The sequence below is a fragment of the Homo sapiens genome, chromosome 7 (genome assembly GCF_000001405.40).
Source record: "Homo sapiens chromosome 7, GRCh38.p14 Primary Assembly".
Taxonomy (NCBI): Eukaryota; Metazoa; Chordata; class Mammalia; order Primates; family Hominidae; genus Homo; species Homo sapiens.
The window spans coordinates 28,036,254-28,062,658 of NC_000007.14; the positions used below are offsets into that span (position 1 = coordinate 28,036,254).

The 26,405-nt window shown below is 38.6% G+C and overlaps 1 protein-coding gene and 1 long non-coding RNA gene across 5 annotated transcripts in view, besides 1 other annotated feature; one reads left to right on the top strand and one right to left on the bottom strand.

Moving 5' to 3' along the window:
- Positions 1 to 26,405, bottom strand: part of JAZF1 (JAZF zinc finger 1) — a 350,219-nt gene that overhangs the window by 205,677 nt on the left and 118,137 nt on the right. The window lies entirely within an intron of this gene.
- Positions 649 to 1,848: an enhancer, noted in NCBI's record as "MED14-independent group 3 enhancer chr7:28076521-28077720 (GRCh37/hg19 assembly coordinates)". NCBI's record gives its function as "activates an origin of replication core promoter dependent on BRD2, BRD4, P300/CBP and CDK7 cofactors, and independent of MED14, by STARR-seq in HCT116 cells {active_cell/tissue: HCT116}" and the evidence as "EXISTENCE:reporter gene assay evidence [ECO:0000049][PMID:35650434]".
- On the top strand, positions 1,263 to 25,961 carry LOC105375208 (uncharacterized). Of its 2 annotated transcripts, none has more exons than XR_001744910.3 (4): positions 1,263 to 1,632; positions 1,796 to 1,944; positions 21,094 to 21,185; positions 25,668 to 25,961. It is a non-coding gene; the product is annotated as an uncharacterized LOC105375208 (long non-coding RNA). The 2 variants fall into 2 exon arrangements; XR_007060267.1 differs by lacking the exon at positions 25,668 to 25,961 and adding an exon at positions 25,233 to 25,304.

The window sequence follows — 26,405 nt, forward strand, 5'->3', positions numbered from 1 at the left end:
GCCTAGAATAAACTTCAGGTTAGAGTCAGTCTGATAAACACTGATTAACAAACTACTGACATAGTAACAAACTAAAACCTATCTGACTTCTATAGTGATTTTTTTCTTATGTTTTGTACAGTTATTGGGAGCATGCATATTATTTGAAAATATTAATAACCTGAAGTTGTTTTCCTTGTTTATTCTTCATCTGGTGCCATAGTCTTCACTCATTTTTGGGGGGAACAATGAGGATGCAAATAGAAGTGGTAGAGTAACGCAACCTCACTCTGCAGGCAGCTTTGGACACAGAGCATCTTGAAAAAGGCTCGCACTGGAGGAGGTAGGGTCATCTCTGGAGGACATTTGGGCTTCCTCATGGCACACAGATTATTCTGGGGCCTGCCCCAAATGCCATGATGCCTTGTGCCAAACAGAGGAAAGGAGGGAAAGCTACCTTCTTAACGTGGGTTAGTGGCTTTTACCTCCCTTTATTAGACACCTAGAGGTTCCTAACCCTGCCTGGGCACTCAGGGGTATGGGATGTTGGGGGTGAGGCTGTGCTCCTGGAGAAGGTAGGAAAGTATGGTCAGGGATGGGGAGAAACATCTGCAAAGAATGCACATAGCAAGACCAGAGAAAGTGAATAACCAGCAACCCTCACGGCAGCCCATTGGCATCTACAGAACAAACTCCCTCTAGGTACAGCAGATGCCAATCTTTTGGCTCACTAATGGGCACAGTTCAGTGGCCCAGTTTACTTTAGGAAGAATCTGGGCCTGGGGACAAGGGAACACAGTGGAGCACACCCTTACTGGGGTGCAGAGGGAATCAATCTGTTCAGAGTTTATTTGGGTACGTGCAGAACTTGCTTAACTGTCCACCTCTGCCTGAAAAGAGACAATTATGATGTAGGAAAAGAAAAAGCAGCAAGACTAGATGTACTCAAACACAATAAATATTATGTTTTCTTGCAAATGTCCTCAGCAATGAGATACAGAAGCAGAGGAATTTAAAGAGCACATCCAAGAGATCTGCACAGTCAGAGAAATCAGTGACTTTGTTTTATGTTTCAGTTTTCCAGGCAGGACCAATTAAACCTGTCTTAATAAAATTCTCAAGCAATGCTGACATGATTCATCTGTGTAGTATTATAAGAGTTTAGCAGGCCCCATTTTAACCTTGGTCGAGTTTTATGACTCATGTAAAACATTCTGAAAATGACTCAGGGAAAAAGAGGGGACATAGTGAGATAAAAGTGGAAGAGGTGAGTCATGAGATCTGAGTTCTTATTCCCCAGATCAGTAACTAGCTGTGCGGCTTTGAACGGGTCCCTTCACTTCTCAGAGCCTCTTTTTCCTCGTGTGAAAGAAAGGGAAGGAATTTTTACAGTTTTATTTGTATGTGTCTATTTCATCTCCATTTTATTAAAAACTGGGCTCAGGTTGAACACACTTGGTCAAAATGAACCCTCTTTCTAAATGCCAATTCACAGGATTGTTCCATATCCAGAGATGTGTGGATGGAAAGGTTCCTTATTCAAATCTTATTAATGAATTCCAGACACCCAGGACACCCCCAGCAACAAGGAATCTTTCGCTGAGTTGGTTCATGCCATTTTTGGACAGCATGAATTATCACAGATGTCTCCAGGTAATATGTCTCCTCATAATTTCTACGTCAAACTCACTTTTCTCTACTCTAGTCACATGTATGCATAAATTGCTTTACTAGAAATGGGCAGAGAGATTTTGGAATTTTCATTGCCAACATCACAATTTCAAATAGGAAAAATAAAAAGCTTTTTTTCTTCCAGCAGAGAATGCATGAAACTCAGTTGATAATTCTTACAAATGGTACCAAACAAAGGAAGAAAATACCAGAACCAATGGGCTAATGCAACACAATACAAAGAACAGAGGAGAATGGGAATTTCCATGAAGTGGGTAACCTATTTTTGGCAAGGTAAATGAAACATTAACATATTATATTAGAGTAATTCAGGTGAAAGAAAACATACAGCCTATAAACTTTGGGATGGGGGAATGATTGTGGCAAATAGCTTCTCACTGTGCTTGTATTAGCATAACTAGTAGATATAAGCTCATTTTTCAGGGTTTTATGATTCTGACACTATAAATCCAAAGTAGACTTGAACTTGTTAAGTACATGATTCATATAATTTTGTTTACATAACTGAACTAAAGAAAGGAAGACAAGATAAAAATTCTACTACGGAATTTGTTGTTTTCTTTCAAGCATTTACAAATATTAGAGATAATCTTCCTTTTTATTTAAACAAAACTGTTTAACATCTGCTTTTTATAATATTGTTATTTCTTGTGAACATTCAGGTTTGAAACTCTTGTTCCCAAGAATTACTTGCAAATATCACATAACTAAAATTCCAAAAAAAGAAGCATGCACACACCCCATAACTCCAGCAAATCCTTGATTAACTGAAAGTCAAAACCCAACCAAACAGAATTCCAGATGAGCTGAAGCTTTTCCTTTCCATATGACTTTTATAAGAAAGTAGGAAACTACAAAAAAGATACAAATTTATTTAAAGCAAAAGATTTGCTGAACATATCGGTAGTTTAGTACATATTCAGCTTCACTGTCCATGCTTGGTATAAAGTATTGTACAAAAAACCATGCTCATGATGAGGTATGAACTGTTCCTTTTATCTCTACCTCAAATTCTTTTGTGGAACAAAGCAGAATGTAAGCAGGTATTATCTTTTATCTCTACAACTTTAATGCTTAGCACATTGATTAGACCTGCATACTAAAATATTTGTGTTAACAAATTAATAAAGAGTGGCAAATTAGAGGCAAAGCATGCTAAATTTAAAAAGATTCATGATTGCTCTGCATATGGAACGTAAGCTCATAGCATCTTAAGGTTTAAAGAGACCTTGGAGACTTACTTAGCCCTCCTTGGTGCAGGGCTCCTCCAAGAACATTCTAATGTTTTAAAAAATGCTTTGGTATTAGCTACCATATTGGGAACACACGCACATGCGCACGTGCATACAAACACACACACACACCCCTTATTATTTCAGTCTTATGAGATAGATGTATTTATCTTGCAACCGGGGAAACTGAGGTTCAGGAAGTGACAGAGGGAAGACAAGGAAGAAGAAAAAGTCAGAAAGAAGTGTAACATGTTTTTGCCAATTCTTTTCTATGGTCTAAGATCCAAGAATAAGTAAGAAATTAATCAGACAAGATGAAAATGTGCCTCCCCTGCCCCATGCAAATACCAATATTATAACTGACTTACTGAGATATATGAAGCTAAGATAGTCCCTGGAACACACTACACACATAAATGTTAGCTTCCTTTCTTTTCAGTATGTTACAGCATCTTGGGGACAAGTAAAGATATTTAGGACCCATTCTCAACTCTGAAAATTTTGGAATTATCGCATAACTAAAGAGAGTTATGAGGAATGCTAAAACCCTTTCCCCTAAGAATAATCAGTGTAATTGTGTTTCTTACTTTAATTTAAAATTCAACGTGTATATGTCTCCTTCCCCCCGCCCCAAGGATATAAATAACTGGAATGACTGAATACAGCACAAAATACAGACGTGGGGAAAGGGTGGCAGTTTTAACTTTGAAATTCACTATACTTGTCAGTTAAAGTCAGGCCTAAAGCATTAATTTATTCTGAAACATTAATTAACTGGAGCTTTTTTGCATTTAATTTTCTCTGGCATTTTGGAATTTATTCTAAGCCCTGTGGAAATGGCAGGTCTGATGTTATTAAAGTTAGCCTTTCAGAAAGTCCTCAAACTGAAGACTCCTACACATTAAAAAATGCTGAGAGTCCAGATAATGCAAACCTAAAGTATTATTAAAGGGTATTCTTTACACATGAAAGAAAAACCTTACGTTTATTAAAAATGAATTAAACTGTCAGAAGTCTTCAATTTTACATAATGTTTGAGCCCTTTAAACACATAAAAAAAATCTAAAGCCAGTTTCATTTTTTTATTCATTCATTCACCCACTCCTTTAAGAATCTGTTGAGTGCCAACTATGTGCCAGGCAGATACTGCTCCAAGTGGGGCAAGCAAGGTCCTGTTCTTGTGCAGTTTACAATCTAGATGGGAAAATAACAAACAACAAATATGTAAGAAAATATCGAAGAGAGATGAGTACTATAAAGAAAATTAAAGAGTAATGTAATCAAGAGTGACTGGTAAGGCCTCTGTGAAGAGGAAGAACTTATGTCAAGTCCTAAATGATCAGCAGTTGGCTACACAAAGTCTGGGGGTAAACATCTCAGAGAGAGGGATACACGGTGCCACAGTGGGGAGGTGGGAATGAGCCAGACAGGTGTGAGGAGGAGGAAGGCAGCCATAGAGTCTAGGCCACCCGGCAGATGAGGGTGTCGGGGTGTAGAAGTGTGTTTGGTGGGATCAAGAGTTGTATTTTGGACATATGGAGTTTTAGATACCCACTTAAAAGAATGGTATGATAAAACACTAATGTACAGCAATTCCATGATCGCCCAGAGTTAAGAGAGGAATTGGGAATGGAATTCAGAGATGGATGCCAGTGACTGCAGCGACGTAAGGTAGAAGACCACAATTCTCTAACAAGCTTTATCCCAAGAATCACTTTAGATATTCCATTTAATCGGCTAATATTTAATTTAATATGCCCCAAATTCAACATAGCAGACACTATGTTCCTTAATGTTCTATTAAGGAAAGGAAGAAGACCCATCTAGAAACCACAGAGATTATTTCTATTACATAGATAACACAGTGTGCTCTCAAAGACACAAATTCTTTCAGAAATGCATATAAATGGGTGCCCTAGATATATGTGGCAAAATTTTTTAAAAATTAAAATGTGTGTAATCAGAGAGAGTATTTGGAGAACGTAAGAGCAAAAGGCTTTCTAGGGGTGGTTCACAACACAAATAACTATTGTTTACCTGGAGAATGTGTGTTTGAGCCCAGTTCTGTGCATGTCTGCATGGGTGTGAGTGCACGAGTGTGTATGATTTGATATTGCTGACGGTGGAGGGAGGGAAGTTCACCCTCTTTCCAAGTCAGATTGCCCAAATGATTATACCTCCTTGCTTGGGATGCTTTGAGCTTGACTTTAGATGGATAAATAGTTTATAATTTGGTATAAGCTATTTTTTAAAAGGTGACATTTTTTAAAAGGTATGGGAAAAATGAAACTAGACATCTTGCTATGCAAATTTCTGAGGCAGCACAGAATTCCATGGCCACATCTACTTCCCAAGACACAGCCTTCCAGAAGCCAGTGAGATATCACCGCTTCTTGTGCCTCTTTACTTTCCAAGACATGTTTGTGTCTGAGCCTCATCAGCCTAAGGGCAAGACCTACATACTTCAGATGATTTGCATTGATGGGTTATGACTATAATACATACCAGAGTTAACAATCTTGATTCCAAGTCTCCTTGACTACATTTGGGAAAGGGCCACCTTACTTTTTATTAATAAATCTTCAGAGAATTCCCCTGTACGCAGCTGTCTGAGATACTCATCTTGAGTATCTCAGAAACAGTATTTCTCATACCCACAAATGCTACTCATGACTAAGTTCTCTAAGAAACTGGCAGGGAGTCATTTCCACAACTGTTTGACTTTCAAAGAATGGCTCCTTTCTACTCCTGTAGGAGGAGATCAAGCCGAACTGGGCACCAAGGATCTAGATCACCCTATGAAGTGCTGCCCTCAAACACATTCTCTGTACAGTCACAGATGGTGGGGTCACCCAAGGAAAATAAAGCCCTGGGTGCCTAAAAGAGGCAGCCCTCTTGGGGAAGCACAGAAGTAAACAGTGACAACCAAGAGGAAGAATGTGCTGAAAGCACACAGGATAGGTTTTGAAGGATCAATAGGAGTTCGTTAAGAGGGCTGAGAGATGGTGACAATATTTCAAAGAGATGGAGCCAACTGTGACAGAAAGAGGCAAGGTGGAGTGTGATGTGTGGAACAAGTAGCCCCATCTGATTACCGTGCAGGGTGTGGGGAGGGAAGGGGAGACTACTGCCAGCTCCATTCAGAAAGACCTTAGAGTTCCTGCTAGAGTGGGACAATTGCCCTGAAGGAAATGGAGAAGCACAGAAGAATTCTGAGTCTGAGGGGGAGCTGGGGGGAGTTGGGTTCCTGACATGATCAAGTTTTAGAAAGACCACTGGAAATGGCAGCAGCTGAAGAATGGATGGGTTAAGGCTGGGGAGGTGTGAAGACTAAAGCCAAAGCAGAAAGCAAATTAATTTATGTTAAAAACCAAAGTAACAACTGTCCTTTAACCAACTGCTTGGCAGGAGGGATTGTTTTTAAAACATTGTTGTCTTGGTTGTCTCCTATGCACTATAACATATAGACATGTACTGCAGAACAACATTTTGGTCAATGATGGAACACTTACGTGATGGTGGTCCCATAAGGTTGTAATGCTGTATTTTTACTGTACCTTTTCTATGTTTAGATACACAAATACCATTGTGTTATAATCACCTACAGTATTCAGTACAGTAACATACTATATGGGTTTGTAGCCTAGAAGCAATAGGCTATAGCATATAGCCTAGGTGTGTAGCAGGCTCTACCATATAGGTTTTTGTAAGTACACTCTTATGATGTTCAGGTAATGATGAAATCACCTAACAATGCATTTCTCAGAACATAGTTTCTCAGAAAGTATTCCCATTGTTAAGTGATATATGACTGTATTCTACTAAGTACGTGTGCTTTGCCTACCTGACAGTCTCCTGCTGTACTATGATCCTGCAAAAATGTAAGACAGATTTGAAACTGCTGCAAAAGATGCATATGATCTGAGCATCACTAGGGAGTATATGGGAATACTGAATGAGGATTCACATTAACAGGTGAAGCTAAGTCTGTAACAATGAACTGTGACATAAGGAGGCAAGGTAGAGTACTAGGAAGCCAATAAACTGGCGAGCCAATGGCCTTATACAAAAGATGGCTGCTTGTTAATGGTGGACCACTAGCTCTCTTTCTCCAAGAACATGAGCTCTTTGGTTGCAAGAATGCCAACTGTTGTGAGTCTGTTTTTTTCTGTGACCTATCACCTGCATCTTTCGGCTCAAGTGTTGCCTCTTCTGAGAGCCAGAGCGTGAACTACCCTCCCCTAAGCTCGTCATGTTCCACCCACCTTACGGCCCCAACATTTTCTTGGGGGCTACTTTTTATTCATATTTGTGCTCTCCTGGCCTAGACAAGGGCTGGATACATGAGTTGGTGTTTGTTTTCAGAAACACTGTGAGTTAAACGTTGCTCTAAAATTATTACACAGCCATTGTAGAAAACTGGCAGATCCTCACAAAGTTGAACGTAGAATTACCATATGACGGGCAATTCCACTCTTAGGTAAATACCCAAGAGAGTGGATACAATTGTTCAAAGACTTGAACATAAATGTTCAAAGCAGCATTATCCATAGTAGCCAGAATGGAAACAACCCAAGTGTCCATTGACTGATGAATGGGTAAACAAAATGTAGTATATTCTTACAGTGGTATATTATTCAGCCATAAAAAAAAAAGATGTACTGATGCATGCTACAATATGGATGAACCTTGAAAACATTATGTTAAGTGAAAGAAACAAGACACAAGAGGCCAGATATAGTATGATTCAACTTAGAGGAAAAATCCAGAAAAAGCAGATCCATAGAGGCAGAAAGCAGGTTACCGGTTACCAGGAGCAAGGGGGAGGGTGGAGTAGGAAGAGACTGCTTAATGGGTTTGAGGTTTCTTTTGGGGTGATGAAAATGTTCTGAAGTTATACAGTGCCGATGGTTGTACATTACTGTAAATGTACTAAAAACCATTAAATGGTACCCTTTAAAATGTTTAAATGGTGAATAGTACGCTATGTGAACTTCACCTCTACTAAAAAAAATGCATCAAATATATCTCATCTCACTGAAGACCATAAAATATATCTCATCTCTTCTTAGCTAGTAAGTGTCCATCTGTCCTTCCTTCCTTCCTCTCAACATTCCTCTCTTCCTCATTCCTTCCTCCATTCCCAGCTTGCTATGAACCTTGAACAAAGGCAAGCAAAGTCTTCACCTGCAAAATGGGAACTGCATGAAGATGATGATCATACAATTTTCTCTGCTCTAGCATCTGACAGATAATTTGCTGGGATGCTGCAGTTCCTATGGACTGGACATCCCATAGTAGACAGCAGGTACAGGGATGAGTGATCCCCTTCCTCCCAACTGTCTGCACTGTCCTAGCTGATGAGGTGATATGCCAAAAATTTTAAGAGTCTGCCCACCTTCTTTGAAAGTTCAGCAAGACAGTGGGAGTTACAAAGAAAGCTAATAACCTATTCTTCTAAGGAAAAAAAAATCCCACAAAATGTATTTTTCTTTAGTTTTTAATTAAAAATGACCTTTCTGATTCTATGGCTGGAGGCAGCTATAGTAATGAAAAACGATGTCATTTACTGGTGATACTAACAGTGTGACAGTTACAGTGAAAAAGGTTATAATCATCAGAGAATTCCTAGGTGTCTACACACCACCTAATTGCTGGGATGCGGGGAGGATACAGATTGAGAGACATTGTAATCACTCTGGAGCAAAAGACTAACCACCAACCCATTTGGAATATGGTACTCTTGGGACTTTATTCTCAGCTTTTCCTTTAATGCTGCCAGCAACCAGAAAAGCAAATGAGAAGGAGTTCAACCCTAAAAGAGATGAAATTTTGACACCAGGGGTCACCATCCTCTTAAACTCTGAATGAGGTGAGACCAGTGCCTAGCCTAAGGGGCAGGCAGGAAGGAAGAAAAAAGGCTGGGAGGAAGCCAGGAGGAAGGTGAAAATTAGGGAGGCATAAAAGAAATTCTTTTGCTTTGCTTCTTCAAAGAAGGTGAGGGGCAGGAGGTGGGGGTGGGGATGGGGATGAGTGGTAGGAGTATGTCTACAGAAATGCTGCTGAATGGCTAAGTGCCCTGAAGCCCATTTTCCCTAAAATCCAAAATATGCTTTCTTTGGACAGTATCTGGGCTACTTTCTTCTTCACCCAATTCAACCCAACCTGAATAACAAAAGAAGGGGAAGCTGCCAGGAATGGGAAGAGTTTCTAAGGACTCTTGAGAAAAAGGTCTGCTGAACTGAGATTAAACTATTTCTCCACCACTATGCTTATTTTCTGCTATATTCAAAACCTAGGGCAAAGGGGAGTGATTATATTCAGAGTAAGAAACATCTATTGGTTTAGTGGGCTAGAGAGGATACACAGAATTGTTAAAAGTGCAATGAGTGTGTGGATTAGAAGAACTTCACAGCAGAATTTTGTTTTTGTTTTTTAGAGACAGGGTCTCACTCTGTCGCCAAGTTTGGAGTATAGTGACATGCTCATAGCTCACTATAGCCTTGAACTCCTGGGCTCAAGCGATCTGCCTACCTCAGACTCCCAAGTAATAAAGACTACAGGCATGCTATACCATGTCCCGCTAATTTTACTTTTTGTAGAGACACGGTCTCACTGTGTTGCCCAGGCTGGTCTTGAACTCCTGGCCTCAAGTGATCCTCCTAACTTGGCCTCCCAAAGTGCTGGGATTACAGGAATGAGCCACTGTGCCTGGCCTGTTTTTATTGCTTGTTTAAAAGCATTTTACTGGCCTTAAAAATTACAAAATAGCATTTGCAAATTTTTAAAAAGTGGAAAACCATTAAACAATTTAAGAAAGCCATATAGAAGTGTAAAGTTAAAAAGTGAGTATCCTTAATCTCCCACTACACCTCCCTAGGTTAATTACTACAAGAACTGTGATAGGTTTCCTTCTCTAATGTTTTCAATGTATGAGCAAATATGTAAATGCTTTTGTTATATTTGTATCTGTTTCTTATTCAGTGCTTCCAGCTGTGCCCAGCATGACACAGGAATTATTTCTTTAGTTTCTACAAAACCTTTAGGAGCCAAGTACTACAAAAAGCCCCATTTTTACTGATGGGCAAACTGAGGCGCAGAGAAGTTAAGCAACTTGCTCAAGGTCAACCAGCTGGTAGATGACAAACCTAGTTCCAGACCTGGCTTGTTAGCCCTTATGCTGACATATGGCATCTGTCCGTGTCAAACCATGGAAAACTAGCTTTTTCTTTTCAGATGGCTGCATGGCATTACATATAATGAATACTCCAAATTTTATTTAATCTGTTCCCTTACTAGGGGACATTTAGGCTGTCCCAAACTTTCCTCTATTATAAATATCATTATGATGAATGTCCGCAGTATAGCAGAACTGTTAGGTCAAAAATAGTATGGTTTAAGTTTGGATAGGTGTTACCCTCCTAAATAGCCTATGTAAATCTACATTTCTAGAAAGAATGTTCCAAGAGCGTCCTTTCTGACACAACTTCCCAAGTGCTGGACATTGCCAATCATTTTCATTTTTGGCAATCTGATACATGAAAACTGATTTCAATATTTGTTTTCCCTGATTGTAACTGAAGTTGAAAGTATTTTGATATGTTAAATAGTCATTTGTATTTCTTCTGTGGTTGTTCACATCCTTCCAACATTGATCTATTTCATTGTCTTTTCCTTACTGATTTGTGGGAGCTCTGTATAAATTTTGAATATTAACGCTTTTTATGTTACATATGTTTCACATATTTTTCTCCCAGTTGGCCCTCCATATTTTAATGTTGTTTATGGTCTCTTTCACCATAATTTCATGAAATTGAATTTGTTAAACATTTTAAGACTTCAGGGCTTCTTGTCATGCTTTTAAAGGACTTCTCCATGACTATAAAAATATATTTTCTTCTAGAATTTTATAGATTTGAAATGTAGTTATGTTATGAATTAGGGATCTAAATATCTATTTTCCCAAAGAGATTGCCAGTTGACTCAACACTATATATTAAATATCCCATCTATTCTGAGTTGAAAGTTACCTTTATCATATATTAAATTCTCATGTACACATGGATCTCTTTATGGATTCTCCATAGGATATTTTAAAATCTGGTGGGGCATATTCCTTCTAATTATTTCTCTTCTTAAAAATAGTTCTTTGATATTTTTGCTTACTTATTCTCCTGTATGAACTTTAGAAACAAACTTTAAAGTTGTAAAAAGAAATTCTATTAAAATTTCATTGAAATTGCACAGGAATGTTACATTAATTTGAAGAGAATTTATAATACTGAGCTCCTAGCCAGGAGTGAAATGTATCTCTGTTTATCAATATCACTTTCCAGATACTTCAGTAAATTTCTATCGTTTATCTCATAGACGTTTTTTGTTAATTTTACTTTTACATTTTTATAGATTGTGATGCAATTGTGAAAGGTATCCCTTTCATCCCATAATACTATATATATGGTTACTGATATCAGATGAAAACAATATTCATTTTCTTCAACTTTATTGAAGCTTTATTTCTCCTAATCCATTGCTTCTGATATTTATCATATATGGAGATGATCATATGGATTCTGGCCTTTTATGCCGTTAACTAAGCAAATTACACTGATTTCCTAATATTGGACTATCCTTGCTTTCCCAGGCTAAGTTTACAATACCACGGAGTATTATTTTTCTGGTATTTTGCTGTACTTGGTTTACACTTATATTGATAAATTAGATGGTTTCGTGTTTTCTTGATCATATTCTTGTCTGGTTTAAATAACAAGAGTTAAACCAGTCTGTAGAATAAGCCTGGATGTGTTCTGTCTTTCTCTATGCTTTGGAGGTGTACAAATTACCAGTAAAATAACAAAATCTGTCCCTAGTATCGTTGAGGAGGAAGGAGATTTGGCTACTTTTCAGAAAGAATTAGATGGTTGGTTAGAATGAACGGTGCATGGATGGACAGACAGAAGAAAGACCAACTTTCTTCTGTGGTTCCTTTCTATTCATATGTTCCTTTTTGAGTCATTTTTGGTAATTTTCAAATTCATTTCTAAAAGACGGATACATAGAAAAATTTTACAAACCTTTGGTTCTATCTCCCTCTTACCCTCAAGTAAGCTTGCCAGGTGTTCCTATTTTATCAACGTTTTCAAAGAGATTAGTTTTATTTAATCAAATCCATTAGGTTTTTGTCTTTAATCTTGTTTTGTATAATTTCTGGACTTACAGCTATTACTTAATTAGTTGACTTTTTGCTTTATTATAATAGTTGCTCTTTTTCTCAAATATTGATTTGAATACTTAGTCCATTTATTTTCAGCACTTCTAAGTTTCTTTTCTTTTTTAGGCCAGGAATGCTGGCAAAAAGCTTGTCCAATTTTCTTATAAATGTCTTCAAGACTATAATTTGTTCTCTGAGAACTGCTTTGGCCAGACTTCTGGGTTCCTATATGAAGTACTCTCATTCTTATTAACTTCTAAAGAGTTTGTCATTTTCATTATGATTTCTTCTTTCACTGAAGAGTTGTAAAAAATGCTCACACAAAACCTTGTAAATGAATGTTCATAGCAGCATTATTCATAATAGCCAAAAGGTAGAATCATCCCAAATGTCCATCAATGGATGAATGGATAAACAAAATGTAGTATAACCATACAATGGAATATTACTGAGCCATAAAAAGGAAGCCAGTACTGACACGTTACAGCATTGATGACTCCTGAAAACATGCTAAGGAAAAGAAGCCAGACACCAAAGGCCCCATACTCCATGTTTCTATTTATACGAAATGTCCAGAAGAGGCATGAGGAAACCTTTTCTTTCTCCCTTCCCTTCCTTCCCTTCCTTCCTTCCCTTCCTTCCTCCCTCCCTCCCTTCCCTTCCCCTCCCCTTCCCTCCCTCCCCTCCCCTCCCCTCCCTCCCTTCCTCTCTCTCTCTCTCTCTCTTTCTTTCTTTGACAGATTCTTTCTCTGTAGCCCAGGCTGGAGTGCAGTGGTGTGATGTCGGCTCACCACAACCTCCGCTTCCTGGGTTCAAGTGATTCTCCTGCCTCAGTCTCCAGAGTAGTTGGGATTACAGGTGCCCACCACCACAGCTGGCTAATTTTTTGTATTTTTAGTAGAGACAGGGTTTCACCATACTGCCCAGGCTGGTCTTGAACTCCCAACCTCAGGTAATCCATCTGCCTCGGCCTCCCAAAGTGCTAGGATTACAGGCGTGAGCCACCGCGCCCGGCCGGAAACCCTTTCTTTCTATTCTACTACTTCCAGTACTTCACTTCCGACACCAGATGTGTGGGGTTTTCTCCCTTACACCAAGCAATTCTCTAATCCTTGGCAAAAACCAACTGGTGTCCTACAATATATTCAATTCAATTATGACACTAATCAGAGTTAGTGTCAGTTCCCACAGGTAAAGGGCTCAGTCCTGCAAGAATGTCCCTATTTCAGATGCCAATTGAAAGCCCAGGTAGCTGCTTATGCTTCTGAACAACTGGCTATAAACAGGAAGTTCTGGTAAATAGGAAGCTCTCTTCAGGTTCAATTATTTGCTAGGATGGTTCACAGAATTAGGGGAAACATTTTACTTAAATTTACCCATTTACTATAAAGGATACAACTCAGGAACAGCCAAATGGAAGCGAGGCACTGGACGAGCTATGGGAAAGAGGCACAGAACTTCCATGCCCTCTCCGAGCACACCACCATCCCAGCACCTTTCTATGTTCACCACCCCAGAAGCTCTCAGAGCCCCATGCTTTAGGAATTTTTATGGAGGCTTCATCACATCGGCATGATTGATTATGAATTTAATCTCCAGCTCCTCTCCCCTCCCTAAGGCTGGCAGGTGCGGCTGAAAGCTCCAACCTTCTAACCATGGCTTGGTCTTTCTGGTGGCCAGCCCCATTCAGAAGCCCACCAAGAGTTGCCTCATTAAAACAACAGATAGTCCTGTCACTCAGGAAATTCCATGAGATGGAGGAGCTCTGTGTCAGGAACTGGGGTCAAAGACCAAATATTAGAATTAAAGATATATTTAGCACCCCTATTGCTCAGAAAATTACAAGGGTTTTAGGAGCTCTGTGCCAGGCATCAGGGGCAGAAACCAATATATTTCTATTTTTATTATGTCGCAAGGCAAATCCATAGAGACAGAAAGTAGGCTAGTGGTTACCAGGGGTTGGAGAAAGAAGTGAATGGGAAGCGACTGCTGATGGGCACAGAGTTTCTTTTGGGGGTGATGAAAATGTCCTGATTTTAGACAGTGTTGATGGCTGCACAACTCTGTGAATAGAAAACCCCTGAATTGTACACTTTAATAGGGTCTATTTTATCTTATATGAATTGTATTCCACAACAACAACAGTTATAAAGAATAGTATTTTTAAACGTCCATGTTGTTAGATTTGGGAAGGCTAACATCTACTATCACTGTATCTCATTTGGAGAATTTAGACTATGCATGGTGTCCAATTTTTGAAGTGTACAGAGATTTTCTTTGTGGCTTAGTCTCTGTCAGTTTTTGTAAGTGTCACTAAGTACTTCAAAAGAATATGCATTCTCTTATTGTTGGATTAAAAAAAAGAATTCCAAATACTCTCATTAAGTCATGCTTGTTGATCGAGTTATTAATATTTTACATATGCTTTCTTTTGTTATTGATTCAGTCAATTTCTGCTAAAGGCATATTAAAGCCTACCACAATGGCCGGGTGTGGTGGCTCATGCCTGTAATCCCAGCACTTTGGGAGGCCGAGGCGGGCGGATCACAAGGTCAGGAGTTCAAGACCAGCCTGGCCAAATAATGAAATCCTGTCACTACTAAAAATACAAAAAATTAGCCAGGCATGGTGGTGTGCACCTGTAATCCCAGTTACCTGGGAGGCTGAGACAGGAGAATCGCGTGAACCTGGGAGGTGGAGGTTGCAGTCAGCCAAGATCGCACCATTGCACTCCAGCCCAGGCGATAGTGCAAGACTCCATCTCAAAAAAAAAAAAAAAAAAAAAAAAACAAAGTCTACTACTATAACTGTTTTTTTTTAAGAAACTATTGCTGTATTTTAAGTGAGTATAATTTTTTATTTTTATTTTTATTTTTTGAGATGGAGTCTTGCTCTGTTGCCAGGGTGGAGTGCAGTGGTGTGATCTCAGCTCTGCTTCCTCCACCTCCTGGGTTCACATGATCTGTCTTAGCCTCCCAAGTAGCTGGGATTACAGGTGCACACCACCACGCCTGGCTAATTTTTTTGTATTTTTAGTAGTGATGGGGTTTCACCATGTTGGCCAGGATGGTCTCAAATCTCTTGACCTGCCCACTCAGCCTCCCAAAGTGCTGAAATTACAGGCGTCAGCCACCGCATCCGGCTGTGAGTATAATATTCTTACAATAAATAATAGCTCTAATCTAGTAAAGTTCTGCATTGTCTCCTGCAAACTGGCTCCTGAAACCTAATTTTTCCAGCTCCTTCTGCATACCCCTCATCTGTTTCACTTATAACCAAGGCGTCTCCCCAACAAGCCTCACCCATCACACTTCCCCACTAAAAAAATGTCCTGGGGTTCATATGCAAACTCCCTACAAAGGTCAGTGCCACCAAACAGTGCTATAAATAACACAGTCCATCAATATTTAAAGCCTGCAAATAAGAACAATTAAAATCAACTAGTAACTCAGAGAACAGAAATCACAAGGAAAGAAATCACACCTAAAATTGATTTAGACGGGCATTAGAAACCTTACAAAGTGATTTACTGACAAACTAAACATTCTAGTGTGGCCTAGTGGAAAAGAAAAAATACTGTCATTTTTTTCTGTTTAGAAGCCAATGCATAAAATCTGAAACTGCAGGTTCACTCTGAGGGCAGGCCTCATGTGATGTTTAAAGGAAAAAAAAATTAACCTTGTGCACACCTCCTATACTCAAGATCATTAATGAAAAGCCAAAATGTTTAATTTGCTCTGATGTTTCTGTTTTCTGTCATTTTTGTATAGTTAACAGGATCATAATTTAAGTAAGTCACACATTGTAAATAACCTGGGTATATTATTCTCTCCTCCTTGGTAATTAGACCACCTTTTGTTACAAAGAATCCTATAAACCATTTAACCACGAGTAGCTGTAAACTACTCATATTAAAAAATGGGTGCTTCTGCTCTTAAGAAGTTGAATAGTGCCAAGGAAATTACATAGCTTTTTGTCTCTCCTTCACTTGCATTTTATTTGAGTTTCTGGAGTCAGTTTGCTAATTTGATAATTGATATGCAGGTGTAAAAATCTACTATAAAAACTTTTGGAAGAAAGCAATCCCTATTGACCCCATCATTTTACTTCAGTGCAAAGCAGACAATCTACACTCAAGACCTCACCTACAAGTGGCTTCTCCAGCAATGCATAAAAAAGATGAAGCCATCTGGCACAACAGGAATTGCAGAAGTATTCAACAAATTAAAACAAAGAAACAAACAACACCTCCAATCACTTCAGTTTCTTAAGCAGAGCAAAGCAACTTGTATCTTTGTGTTACTTGTGATTACTTGATATGCTGATCAACTAGGATGTAAAAATAAAACTTGCAAAAACCAAGCTAAGAATCCTAGTTTTAGAATATAGGACATCCACAAAGATGAGGAATCATTTTCACCCAAAGAAACAGCGACAAGTATGGATACTGGCTTTTTTTTTTTCTGATTGTGGTAAAAAATATAGTATTAAATTTTACCATCTTAACCACTTTTAAGTATATAGTTCAGCAGTGTTATGTATGTTCATATTGTTGTACAACAGATCTCTAGAATTTTCCATCTTGCAAAATGGAAACTCTATACAATTAAATACTAATTTCCTCCCCCAGCCTTTGACAACTGCTTTTCTACTTTGTTGCTATGATTTTGACCACTTTAGATACATCATATGCTTTGACTCATAGTACATGTCCTTTTGAGACTGACTTATTTTGCCTAGCATAATGACCTTGAGGGTTAGCCATACTGTAACATGTGATAGGATTTCCTTCATTACATCTGCATGACATTCCACTGTAATTACACACCACACTTTCTTAATCCACTCATCTGCTGATGGATACTTGGGTTGCTTGTACTCCTTGGCTATTGTAAATAATAGCGTAAATAATTTCGGCGTGCAAATATCTCTTTGAGACCCTGCTTTGAATTATTTTGGATATATACCCAGAAGTGGGTTTGGTGAATCACACAGTAATTCTATTTTCAGTTTTTTGAGGAACATGTTTTCTATAATGTTTTGTGGAACTGTTTTCCATAATGGCTGTACTGTTTTTAATTCCCATAAACAATGCATAAGCTTTCCAATTTTTCTGCATCCTTGCCAATTCTATGACAATTACACAGATAGGAGGAAGAAATCTTTTACAGGAGTGTATTCAGGAAATAATTGAAGAAATTGATTCTACTATATAGCAAAAGAAAACAATAGATAAAACAGTATTTTCATACCTCCTATTAATGGCAAAAAGTATCCCAAAGAACCAAAATATGTTGTGATCCCAATGACAGATTTCAACCAATAAGAGTTTGAAATGAAATAGCTTTTCTTAAATTTCATAACACTGGCACTTGGCTTTTGAGCAAAGGAGTGGAAAGGTACGGAAAGAACTGGAGGGGGCTAAGAAGACACAGGCTGAATCCACTCATACTGAGAAGATGCTAGAGGGCCTCACAGGACCCTTCCATCCTCACCTTTCCCACCCCACCTCACACCCCGAGCAGCTCTGCATCAATCTTTTTAAAAAACTGTTGAATAAAGCAAAAAGAAAAGGAAAAAAGGAAAGCCATTAGTCTTTATGCTCCTTCCAGGATTAAAATTCAATTTCTTCAATTAGGGTAGGAATCCTTGTCTATTTCTCACTTTGCATATATACCTCCCCAAGTATAAACTTCCCATCTTCATTCTGAAAAGTAAATGTGCCTCAAACCAATTAGTGAAGTAGAACAAAACCTTCAAATTCTATTTTCCACAGAGCATATAATCCTATATCTACTTAAATATACAAAGCACTACTTTCAGTCATCATTCTTGCTCAATCAATACCATTTATCTATTAATAGGATGGCTCTCTTATTTGCTCTAGCATAAAACTGACCCCATAGTAGTTATAGAAGTTGAAGAGATACAACTTAAAAAGAATCTACCCTTTTAAATTTAACCAATCCCAGTTGTCCTTTATAACAACTGATACATGGATATTCAACTAGTGTATGGCAAGGCAGTCACCAGCACTGGAACGAAAATGGGTCCTTTCCTATATACGAAGAGAACACTGTACCATTACTTTTGAGAGGGAGAATGGCAAAAAACACTGACCCTAGGGCCCTTGCTCCCTAGTCATGCCCCTAGACCCAGTGAAGCCTCCCCTTGTACACTTGCTGACAGGATCTCTATTTGCAGTCTGTTTGGGTATGTTCTGGCCACACTAAAGCTACTTGTAAATATTTCTGCCATTTCCCTTTAGGAAACCCAGGGCCTGGTATAATATGTGATTCTCTCATGCTCGAGGCCATTAGGGTAAATGTGCCTCGTGTATCCCACTTAAAAAGTTAACGCAGGAAGAGGTGCAGACGCTGGTAGACACAGTCTGCCTTTCTTCCTGCTGTCTGGTTAATGTAGCAACTGGCTGCTCAGGAAGGAAGGGGAGGGAGATGGACCGGAGAGCTGAAAAGACGGCTGGCGCTAGGTAGGATTTACCTCATAGACTTACCCACACCATCCCTCCCTAAAACAAGCTACAGTGCATGGCGCTCACATTGCATTTTGAGGTAAAAGTTCTCAATATAGGTGCTGGCAATGTGCTCTATCTCGATCTGGATGGTGTTTACCAGGGCTATAGATGAACTATGCAATGGGTAAAAATCAGTCAAGTACACTTAGAATTCGTGTACTACATGTTAATAAGACTTTGAGAAATTAAATTTTAAAAGTTCCCAATATAGACTTACTAAATGACAGAGGATGGCTCCAATTCATTCCTTTCAGGTGTTTTAAAAAAAAAAAAATTTTTGCAATGACCTGATGTCTCCAACTTCTAGTCTAGTCTCTCTCCCTCCCATCCCCTTTTTGCATCACTAACACATTAAAATTCCTGAAGTTCCACTCTGATCAAGTCATATTCCAGGGTAAAAATCCCTGATGGCTCTCCACGGTTTATCACTGTCTATAAACTCCCTGGCCTGGCACTCATTCCCCACTCCAGGGTTAGCCACATGCCCTGGCCCAAAACACCCCTCAACAGCCTTCCCTAAGCCCGTCCTATGAAGATCTCCCAGCCCACACTTTGGTGCGTGTGATTTCCTCTCCTCTACCTCCACCCCTCCCCAAATTTCCATCTTGGACTGTTAAACATATGTATGTATACCTTTCCAGCTTCCTCCAAATGAATACTCTAATAGTAACAGCAAGAGATCTTTGTTTATTATGGATTTGATAATTAATAATGTTTTAATATCATTTACTACATACAATGTAAGCTTCACGAAGACAAGGCTCTTTGTTGTATTCACCAATGTATCTCTTGGGCTTGGAAGAGCGGCTGGCACATAGTAGATGCACAACGATTATTTGCTGATTTGATGATAATAGCTTTCCTGAAGGAGAGCCTGTTTCCCACACACTGTGCTTTAATACAGATCATTTCTATTCCTGAAAACACCAAAGCAATACGTATAATATAAGCCCCACATTCCAGATGGGGAAATTGAAGCTTGATGATGTTAAGTAACTTGTTTAAGGCCTCACAGCTCAGGATAGTCAGGATTCAACCTCCTCTTCCTTTGAATTCTCAGAAAACATTGTACTATGGTGCTTATCTTCTGCCTGATACTACAGCTACATAGTAGCCTGTTCTCTCTTTCTGCTTTCCATTCTTTGTGAACAGAGACAGTGTCTTACCCACCACAGTATCCTCTGAAGCACCCAGCTCAGGTCTTCACAGTGCAGGGGCTCCATAAATATCTAGTGAGTGACTGAAGAGTAGATAATAATAAAGGGGTGGGGGAATATGATTTAGGGAGTATCTCTAAAAAAAAAAACCTGGAGCACGCAATAAACTAAAGCATAAATGAGCACTAATTAATAAAAGGAAGCAAGTTAATTAGTAAAAGGAGGCAGTTCATACCACATGTACATGACAGGAGAGAACAGCCTCATGTCAGATGGGACTCCTGGGAGCGCAAGTCTTTACCATATAAAAATTAACTACAAGACTCAAAGGGCAACATCACGTGGCAGCTTCATTCCTTGAACTATTTCAACAACTACACACACACACACACACACACACACACACACACACACACAATAAGAAAGAAATTCTTGAGGCTGGACTGAATGTATTATCTGAGTGTGAGCATGAAATTTCACAGAAGAAATCATTATAAACCTTTTCCTCCTTAAGAATCACATCCACCATGTCACAAGTGCTAAACTAGTGGATTAAACTAAAAGCAAACACAGCTCATGAAATCAGGAGAGCTATCTGGCTTTATGCTCAGCTGGGGCTCAGGCTGCTTCTACAATCTCCAGTGTGGCTGCATACCACCCTTCTCTTTGTCTTCTTCATCCTAACAATTCCTGATGCACACACTCCTGTCCCCTGCTCCTGAAACCCTTTCCCAAGTCTGTAGCTCCTCACCTCCATGACTTAAGAACTAAGTAAGGTACAACGATATTCCAGAACCCACGCATCTCTTAAACTGAGGGCTGCCTGTACTCTCCTTTATGAATACATATATATCAGAATGTTTTGTGTCTTTAGGGGATAAGATTTTGAGCTGCTATTCTAGAGCATGCTAAAATGTTAATTCTATACATTCATTCTGGAACACCTGAACAATGACACAATTTTGGCTATTTTTCTGAATTTCTCCATAATAGAAAGTAAGATTAAAGCAAGTTCCTAGCTATCCATCATGCTGTGACCCTCATCACTGAAGTTCAGAAATTACTGCACATTAAAGAGGGTTTACCTGATAGGGGCTAGGCTGAATCTTACCTTTAACCCACGCCTTAGTAAACAATTTGCTAAATAAATGAATTGGTAATATAAGGAAGATTTCAGCTTGACTATTGTAAAAGCACATAAAAAATGCTTTTATGACCTTAACCTCTATCTGTATGAGGTTTTCAGAGATTATCTATTTTAAACTCTACTTTTGTACCTCAGTATAGGTTGAAGAGAGACCCTGCAAACAAGCCCAAGGCATGTTAAGAGTGATAATAGCTAAGATCTACTGACCACTTAATATTGTGCCGAGTACTCTGTAAGTACTTTATATGTATTATCTCATTTAATCCTCAATCATCTTATGTGATAAAAACATCTGGGCCTGGTGTTTTCTCTATGAAAAGATTTTAATTTTTAACTATTTATTACAGAGATTTTTCAAACATACACGAAAGTAAAGAGAATGTTATAATGAATCTTCATGACCCATCACCCAACTTAAGAGATTTTTTACTCCTATTTTTAATGGTTATAAGCTACTTAGGTCTTTGTAGCTTTTGAGTCAGTTTTAATAAGTTAGGAATTTTCCCATTGTGTCTAAGATTTAAAATGTATTGGCCCCAAATTTTGTTCAAAATATTCTTTTATTAGATTTAAATCTCTGCCCTAACTGCAGTTACTAACATCATTTGTTTATGGCTTTTCTCTTTTTGTTTTCCTTGATCAATCTTGGCAGAGGTTTGTCAACTCTATTCATCTTTTCAAAGAACAAACTTTTGGCTTTCTTGATCCTGTCTAATGTAAAAAAGTTTTTTCCACTTAATTCCAGTTCTTGTTTCATTATATCCTTCCATTTTCTGAGGGGTTTTTAGGTGGTTATTTTTTCTAACTGAGGCTGGATGCTGTACCAGTCAGGGATGCAGAACCATTACCAGTGACGTGACAGGAGGAATGCTTACAGCAATTAGACTTTGCCAGTGTGTGAGGGGCTGGGGAAGTGAAGGCGGTGGTACTGATCCTGGTGGGGACACCAATCACTCCTTCTGAAGCCCTGGAGCAGAAGGACCAGTCAGAGTTTGTATGCAAGGAACTCAGAAGCCAGGCTCATATACACCAAAGTGAACCTACAAAGTGGGGGATGCACAGAGAGGTCTAAGGAAAGCTCACTTTTTATGAGTCCACAGCAAAGAACCTGGGGTGGCCAGCCAGAGGAAGAAGAGCTAGATGCAGAGAGGACGAAAATGAGGACAAGCCAGAACCTGCCTGCACCTGCCTCTATTTCTGTTCATCATCCCATCTCACCCTGAAGCATTCTGGAGAACCAAGGCCACTGCTTCACTGATTCTACCCCCCAGTCTCCTACAAGTTCATCTTTTGGCCTTCCTGTACAAGGAAGGAGATTCTGGGAAACACAGTTCCTAGTTTAACCAACTTGATCAGGGAACAGTATAGCATAGATGCTTTCATCTCATTAATGTTCAGCCTTTCTTCAATACATTTCTAAGTACTATTCAGCTATATCCCATAAGTTTTAACATAGATTCTATGTATTTTCATTACTATTTATTTCTAAATATTTTACTTTTCCCATAATCTCTGCTTTGTCCTGTGACTTACGTGCATGCATGCTTCATAATTTCCAAACATATGCGTTTTCTTCTAGTTTTTGTTACTGATTTTATAGTGCAATTTTCTTAAATATTTTCATTGCAGTCAATTTTCTCAAGTATTTTACATGCCCTTAAAATGCTCTGCCACTTCAAATGTTGGATGCAGCCTTCTTTATATGTCTTTCACATCAAGCGTAACACTAACTGTGTTACTGTTTTTTTGCCTGCTTGATAAACCAATTAGAGTGACAAAGAAATTAAAATCTGCCCCATGATAACAAGACTGTTTTATTTTTCCTTGTGATTTCAATAATTTTGACTTTATATATTTTGGGGTGATAGTAGTAACATAATAAGTACATAAACATTTAGAATTGTTTGATGTTTCTGGTAAATGGAACCTGCTAGGACCTTCTTTGTAATTAATAATATTTTTGCCTTCAATTCCATTATTAATTTACCAGGTTTCTTTTGGTAGGACTCTGCCTGGCATATAATTTTACATACTTTTCATTTCAACTTTTCTTTGTGTGTTGTGAAGATGATTCTTGGAAGCAGCACACTGCCAACATTTTTTAAAATCCAGATTGATAATCTTTGTCTCTTAACTGGAATAATTTGTCCAGTTGTATTTAATATAATTTAGTGGTTATTCTGAAAAGACTGAAATTATATATAATGTATCAAAACCTAAACATTACTAATTTCTTTACCTTCTTCCTAAGTAATATGTTATATGTAATCACCTCCTGACTGACATGCTATAAACAACACATATTTTGGTTTTTTAAGCTCACAAGAAAGTCACTGTTGATTCAAATTTACCCACATATTTACCACTTTATTTTTTGTCCCTTCTTTTAACTCTTATCTTTTTATTCATGATCTCTTACCTTCTTCTCAAAGTACGTATTTTAGAACCTCCTTTCATGAAAATATGTTGCTCCTCTTTCCCTGGTCTGAAAATTGCTTTATTTATCCTCATTTTTGAAAGACAGATTTGGCTGAGCAAACAATTACAGGCTAATTTTCTCTCTGTATTCTGAAGACATTGTCCCACTATTTTCTGCCCTGCCATCACTATAGTTAGTTGAACCGCTCCTTTGAAAGCTACATGTCTTTTCTCTGTGACTGCTTAAGGGTTTTCTCTTTGTCATGGTGCTCTGCTATTTTACTATGCCATATCTAGGCATACGGATCTCTTTTAAACATTTAGTCGTGTTTAATGTGTTGGTATCTTTAATCACTTCTGGAAAATTCACTCTTCTCCTTGTCTTTTAGCCCCCTTCCATATTTTTCATCTTTTGTGTCTACTACATTCTAAATATTTTATTCAATTTTATCTCCTAGCTTATTAATTCTTTATTTGATTCTATCTAATCTGTCATTGATTGCCTATCAAGCTTTTAATTTAAATTTCTATATTTTAGTTAATAAGTTGTATCTGCTTTTCAAATTTTCTTTGTTATTTCAATACTCTTGCTCCTTAGACATATTTTCAATCTTCTCTTCCATTTTTGTAAACATAGTAAACTTACTTATTTTATGTATTATGTCTGATAAATTCAGTACCTGAAGTCTTTGCAGGTTGATTCTGCTGACTCTTGTTCATAATGATTTATTTTTTGTGTGTGTTTTGAGATTTTTGAATGGGAGCTAATGTATTTTAGGAATTCTGTAACGATTCTTTATGGTCAAATAAAGAATTCCTTCACAAAGAATCTGCATTTGCTTCTGCTAGCTGACAAGAGCAACTACCAACCTGGTACCATTTTAATTAGATTCTAAGCTGAATGTTTTTCTGACCATTCAGCTAGTGTGAATTTCAGCTGTAAATCCACAAGCTGTTCTGTGGTTACAGATTTTCTGAGGAGATTTATTTTTTGCTCCTCCACATAGCTCTAAGGTTCAAGACAGAAAATTTTCCTTGGAGGAGTCTCAGGTTTTTTTCTAGCTTGCCATTACCAAGAGAATATAGCTTAGAGGTACCAGTTCCATGGTGGGAGGAGCCTTTGCTAATTATACAGTTCAACTTGGGTGGGCCTAGAGTTTTCCTTCTGTGGCTCTGGAGGTTGTAAAAACCTAAGAGCAAGTTCAGGGTGAAAGTCCAGAGCCTCCAGAGCTCTCTCTGGGTTTCCAAATTTCACTTGGTATTTAGCATCTGAGCATTTCTTCCTGTCTTGTCACATTGGCAGTACAATTGAAAAAAATCTCTTCCACTGATCCTGCAGGCAGTATGATTTACAATGGTTCAGAATGAGAGCTTTGAAACTAGTGCCTGGGTTCAAATTTCTGCACAGCACTGATTAGCCAGGCAGCCTTGGGAAGTTATTTAAACTCTGCTTTAATATTCCTACTTCTAAAATGGGAACAAGAATAGTACTTGCCTCATACATGGGTTTTTGTAAGGATCAAATGAGTTAGTGCAGTAAAGCACTTAGAATACGGCTGGCCATAGCCAGCATTCAAAAGAAAACAAGGCATTATTATTACTATTACTATTAGATTGTGGTACCATGATGAGACCTTACAATGCAGATGCTGCTTTCTACTCCTTAACATTCTCTCTTGTATGATCACGTTATAAAATCAAGCTCTGCAAAATGTAATTTTATATAAACATTTCTGCCAGTGCACTCATTTTTATGAAACCTCTGTTTAAGAAAGTACACAAAACACATAAATATATGCATAACAATGAATGGCAGACACACTCCGCTGAACACTCCTATTTAACTGCTCTTACCATTTAGGACCAAGAGGGAGTACAATGAAAGTAAAAAGCATTAATCAAAATAACCCAAAGAATAATTTTAATGATGCCTAATGGAGGGATTCAGCTGTTGCCATCAAGTGTAAAGGTGAGCATGTTAATAGCAAAAAGAAATGGCTTTGTTAAACGTGATTATCCCTTGCTCTTACTAAGCCTTATGAGATAGAGCTACACAAATAAGAGCCAGGAGAGTTTTCAGGCCCAGAATGGCCGTATTTACAATGGTGAAAACCCAGTATATTACAAATAATGTAAAAAGACATACACCATGCATACAATCTGAAAGAGCTGGCTTTAGTAAGACAAGTGGGTATTTCTTGATTTTAATATGTGAACATTTTTAAAGTATCAAAATCAATCTTATTATCATGAACACATTTTGCCCAGCCATGAAAATCTTTATTTTTATATTTAGGTTTGATGAATGAACAGCCATACAGAAATGTGATTGGACACAAAGGATCTGGCCTAACGGTGAAGGACGGAGTGGGGAAACCCAGCAAAACCACAGAATTTTTTACTGAGTACTTCAGTTACAAGGTAGAGCGTGAACCCTGCAAGAGAAATGAGCTCCTATTGATTTGTTTATAAATTATCACAACAAAACAAAATGCCCCTGGCTAAACTGGGATCTGGGATTTGGGGTTGTGCCAACCGTCAGGTCATCACTGTTCAACTCCAAATACACCCCTTAATAGCTGCTCTGTGATAATGGACTGGACTCGAAGCATTTCTTCCTTACTCAAAGCCTAAGATTGAGTGAGCTCAATATTAGTTAGTTAGAGTGACCTCAGTGTTAGGCCTTGTCAGTAGAGGGCGCCGCAGGGACACTGTAATGGCTCCAGAGTACTGTGTTTTGACGTTTTCTTGCTGCTGCTTCACTGTCCTTCAGCGGTGCATGTATATAGGGACATCTCTGCTCCAGTCTTGTGTGCAGAGCATGCAGTCCCTTAGTGACTACGCAGCCCTGTCCTGAGGCTGAGTAACCACCTTTCCACAGGCCTCCCACACAGACCCTGCATGCTGCATGCAGGCCTTGTGCCCACCGTGATACTCCAAGTGCCCACCGTGATACTCCAACTCTCCACCAGCCTCAGGTTGCCTGTGCCCCAAAGCCAGCAAACTTCTGTGACATCACAGGGAGCGACATCCA